Below are 3,769 nucleotides of genomic sequence, written 5' to 3' on the forward strand. Positions count from 1 at the left end.
TGGAATAACTGTTACCATTAATGTTATTTTTTTTTTCTACGTGCCTAGGTCTTGACTGTCTACATAGGGCCTTCACATCCCTTTTTTCCTTGAATCCTCATCATGGTCTATCAGGTTTCTGCTCTCATGTAAGGGCCATCCACGATGCTGGATACACTGCTGTAGACATAAAAAAAAATCTTTATGTTTGGACAATGTGCTTTTTTTTTTTTTTTTTTGAGATGGAGTCTCACTCTGTCACCCAGGCTGGAGTGCAGTGGGGTGATCTCGGCTCACTGTAACCTTCGCCTCCCAGATTCAAGCGATTCTCCTGCCTCAGCCTTCTGAGTAGCTGAGATTACAGTTGTGCCCCACCGTGCCCAGCTAATTAAATTTTTTTTTTTTTTGTAGAGACAGGGGTCTCACTATAATCCCCAGGCTGGACTTGAACTCCTGGACTCAAGGGATCTTCCCTTATTGGCCTCCCAAAGTGCTGAGATTACAGGTGTGAGCCACTGCACCCAGCCCTAAAACATCTATTTTTTTCTGATATGATATCTGCCTTTTTGATAATGCTAGGTTTTCAATTGACTGGATTTGATTTGCTTTGCATTCCCATAGCAAACAGTTCATGTAGGTAGATGCCCTTTATCCAGGTAATCCTCGTGGCTATTTCACTCCTTCCTCCCTTTTCTCACAGTGGATCTCATTAGGTAATTATCAGTTTTAGAAATCTCCATTAAGAATTTCTTTTCCACAGTTAACAACAAAGCTCTGTTTTTATTTTATTTTAGTTTTTGACTCCTGATTTTATTATTCAATTTCTTTTTTTTCATTTAGTCTCCTGTGATTGGGAAGCCTTGCCTCCCAAGACCAGAGTCAGTTGGAGCTGGTTGTTGGAAGGGAGTGGGTTGGGGAACTGGGATGGGGGCAGGGAGACCCCGCTCTGCTGGTGGTCCTAGGTGGAGAAGAAGAATTATACTTCACAGAGCCTGCGGTGTGGTGGGAAGGGGATGAGGCAGGAGCAGCAAGCTGGGGAGATGGGACCCACCTCAGTCCCCAGCTTCATTTTCTTCTAATGTTTCCCCACTGGTGGCTTTCTCTGCAGTCTTGTAGGCCTTCTTCTTTTTTTTTTTTTTTTCTTTTTCTGGGTTTTTTGACTTGCAGAACTCTAGAGGAGAGCCTTTAGCTCTGCATCCTGGACTTCCATCTCAGACTTGTAGAGGTCAGGCTCGAAGGGACCACTGGTTATCTGCATAAGGCCATCGAGCATCAGCAGAACTATACATTTAAACTGGGCAACAAATTCACCTTCCTTCTCATAGAGAACATTAAATAGTTTGCACCAGTTCATGTTTGGTGCACTTCACCACACCAATCTGAGCCTTCTTCTCATCTTCAAATGCTCTTAAAGTAAACGGCATGGCATCAAAACACTTTTCCACCTCACTGAAGAAGGCATGTGAAGTTTTCATCTTCAGTCCGTGCTGTTTAGAGGGGTCTCATTTGTAAATAGTGGTTCTCTGTCCTGCATCCTTGCTCTTGCCCTCTCCTGAGCTGACGAGAACATCCACAGCATATACTTCATGTACCGCCAATTCCGCTTTTTCATGGTCCTTCTTCTTCTGGTCTGTGAGATTCTGGATAATGGTTTTTTCTCCATCGATGACATGCTGCTTCAACTGATGTGACAGCATACCTTCTATTGGCGTGCAGTTAAGTGAGTGGGCAGCTTTGTTCAGGGCTTCTGTCACTTGTGTGTTCTGGTTTCCAGGTTTGACCAGGCGTAGGACAGCTTCATCACAAAGGTGAATTGCCTTAATGACATCTGCTTTCCTCCCTGTTACTTGGGTCCCCTGAGCTACATCAACCACAAAAGTATGAGCTACATTAGCGATGAAGCCATCCACATGGACCCCAAGGTCAATTTTTACCAAGTCACCTTCCTTGAGAATATAATCCTGGTTGCTCTTCAAAGGGGAGAAGTGACATATACAGTTATTTACTGAAATGCTGGTGGGAAAAGCAATACCTTTTCTCATTTCTATTTTTTTCTTGAAGATTTTCCCTATTTCTTCCATAATCATGGCATCATCTTTCTCACACAGGCTCAGTACCAACACACCTGAGCTAGATGCTTCTACCAAGGACCGTAGTACCTGGTTAGCGATGTCGCCCCCCCCCCATCTTATACTTGGTCACGACCAGGTCCTTGGCGATAGTTTGCTCCTGCTGCTTGTCCTTGTCCGACATCTTCCTACCACCATCACTGCAGCCTCGTTTTCTCTGAGCTGCCGCCTGTCTCCCTTCCCAGCCGCAGGCTGTGGTCAGAACCCCCTCGATCCTCGAGGAGAGGGCGAGCAAAATCGCGAGCAAGAAAGGGAGCGGGCAGGCAGGCGAGAGCAAAGCTCTGTTTTTAAATGAAGAAGTTTTCTTATTTCATTTTTAAATACCCAGAGGCTCATTCTGACAAGTTTTCAGCTTCTTTGTAGCTTCCTTGATCTTCGCAACATGACAAATACAATGGAACCTGTTCTGTAGTCCTTCCCTGTCTGTAACAGGGGGAAGGAAATCAAATAGGAGAGACAACTCAGAGCTGAAGGTTGTCAGAGAAATTAAATGTTCTTAAGAGGTGGTGCTGCGAATAAAGGGCGTCCACGCAGGTGTGCCTGACCAAGCTGATGGCTTTCAGGTGCGCATTGATATTTGGTATGAGGGAGAAGGGCCATTGAAGAGGTTTTGCGTTTGAACACCTGGAGAGCAAAGAGAGGGGTGTGGTTGGGGGGGCAAGCAGAAGAGACAAGGTGATTGGTGGTTGCACTCTAGCCTGGGTCAGGGATGAAGTCCAAGTCCCATAGCAAGATGGGCTACTGGAACAAGTGCTTTTCAGAAGCAAGGGGCGCCACTATGCTCAGGTAACAAAGTGGCACGGAGGGAGGAAGGGAAAGAGGTTATAGGTCAGATATTGAGCCTGGCTCACCTGTAACATTTTCGGGGTTTAGAACAAGAGTTCAACTTGGGATCCACATACCATATGCCTAAATATTTGAAATGTTTAAATCAACAAATACAGCATGTTTTATTTAATGGTTTATCTCCTTCCATGACAAATGTAACTTCATAATGACCTCAAAGTCCAGGTTGGGTTCTAGAATTCTCAGACTCCTCTAAGTCCTGTCCAATGGTGTGGGAAGAACTGCTACCCTTCCCCCTCCCGCTTTAGAAATATTTCAGACCTACACAAAATTGTAGAAAACATTACTATAAACATCCATGTATCCACTATTCAGCTTAAGAAATATAACATTACAAATACAGTTGATGTCTGCTGTGGTGCCTTCTCTACTAGAATGCCCCTCCCTTTCTTTCTGAGAGGTAACCACCATCTCAAATGTTCTTGTCTTTTTTTTTTTTTTTTGAGACGGAGCCTCACTCTGTCACCCAGGCTGGAGTGCAGTGGCGCGATCTTGGCTCACTGCCGCCTCTGCCTCCCAGGTTCAAGCGATTCTCCTGCCTCAGCCTCCTGAGCAGCTGGGATTGTAGGTGTGCACCACCACACCTGGCTATTTTTTGTATTTTTATTAGAGATGGGGTTTCACCATGTTGGCCAGGCCTATCTCGAACTCCTGACCTCAGATGATCCACCCGCCTGAGGGTGGGATTACAGGGGTGACCCACTGCGCCCAGCCGCAAATATGCTTGTCTTTCGAATGCACACTTTTCTGTATGCTACATTTGTATGCATCTCTTACATGCACACCTTTTAGTCTCTCTCTACTTACCCACAATC

At 45.3% G+C, this 3,769-nt stretch overlaps 1 pseudogene; it reads right to left on the reverse strand.

Moving 5' to 3' along the window:
• PA2G4P1 (proliferation-associated 2G4 pseudogene 1) lies at positions 775-2,389 on the reverse strand (annotated as a pseudogene).

Source organism: Homo sapiens, chromosome X (assembly GCF_000001405.40).
Source record: "Homo sapiens chromosome X, GRCh38.p14 Primary Assembly".
NCBI lineage: Eukaryota > Metazoa > Chordata > Mammalia > Primates > Hominidae > Homo > Homo sapiens.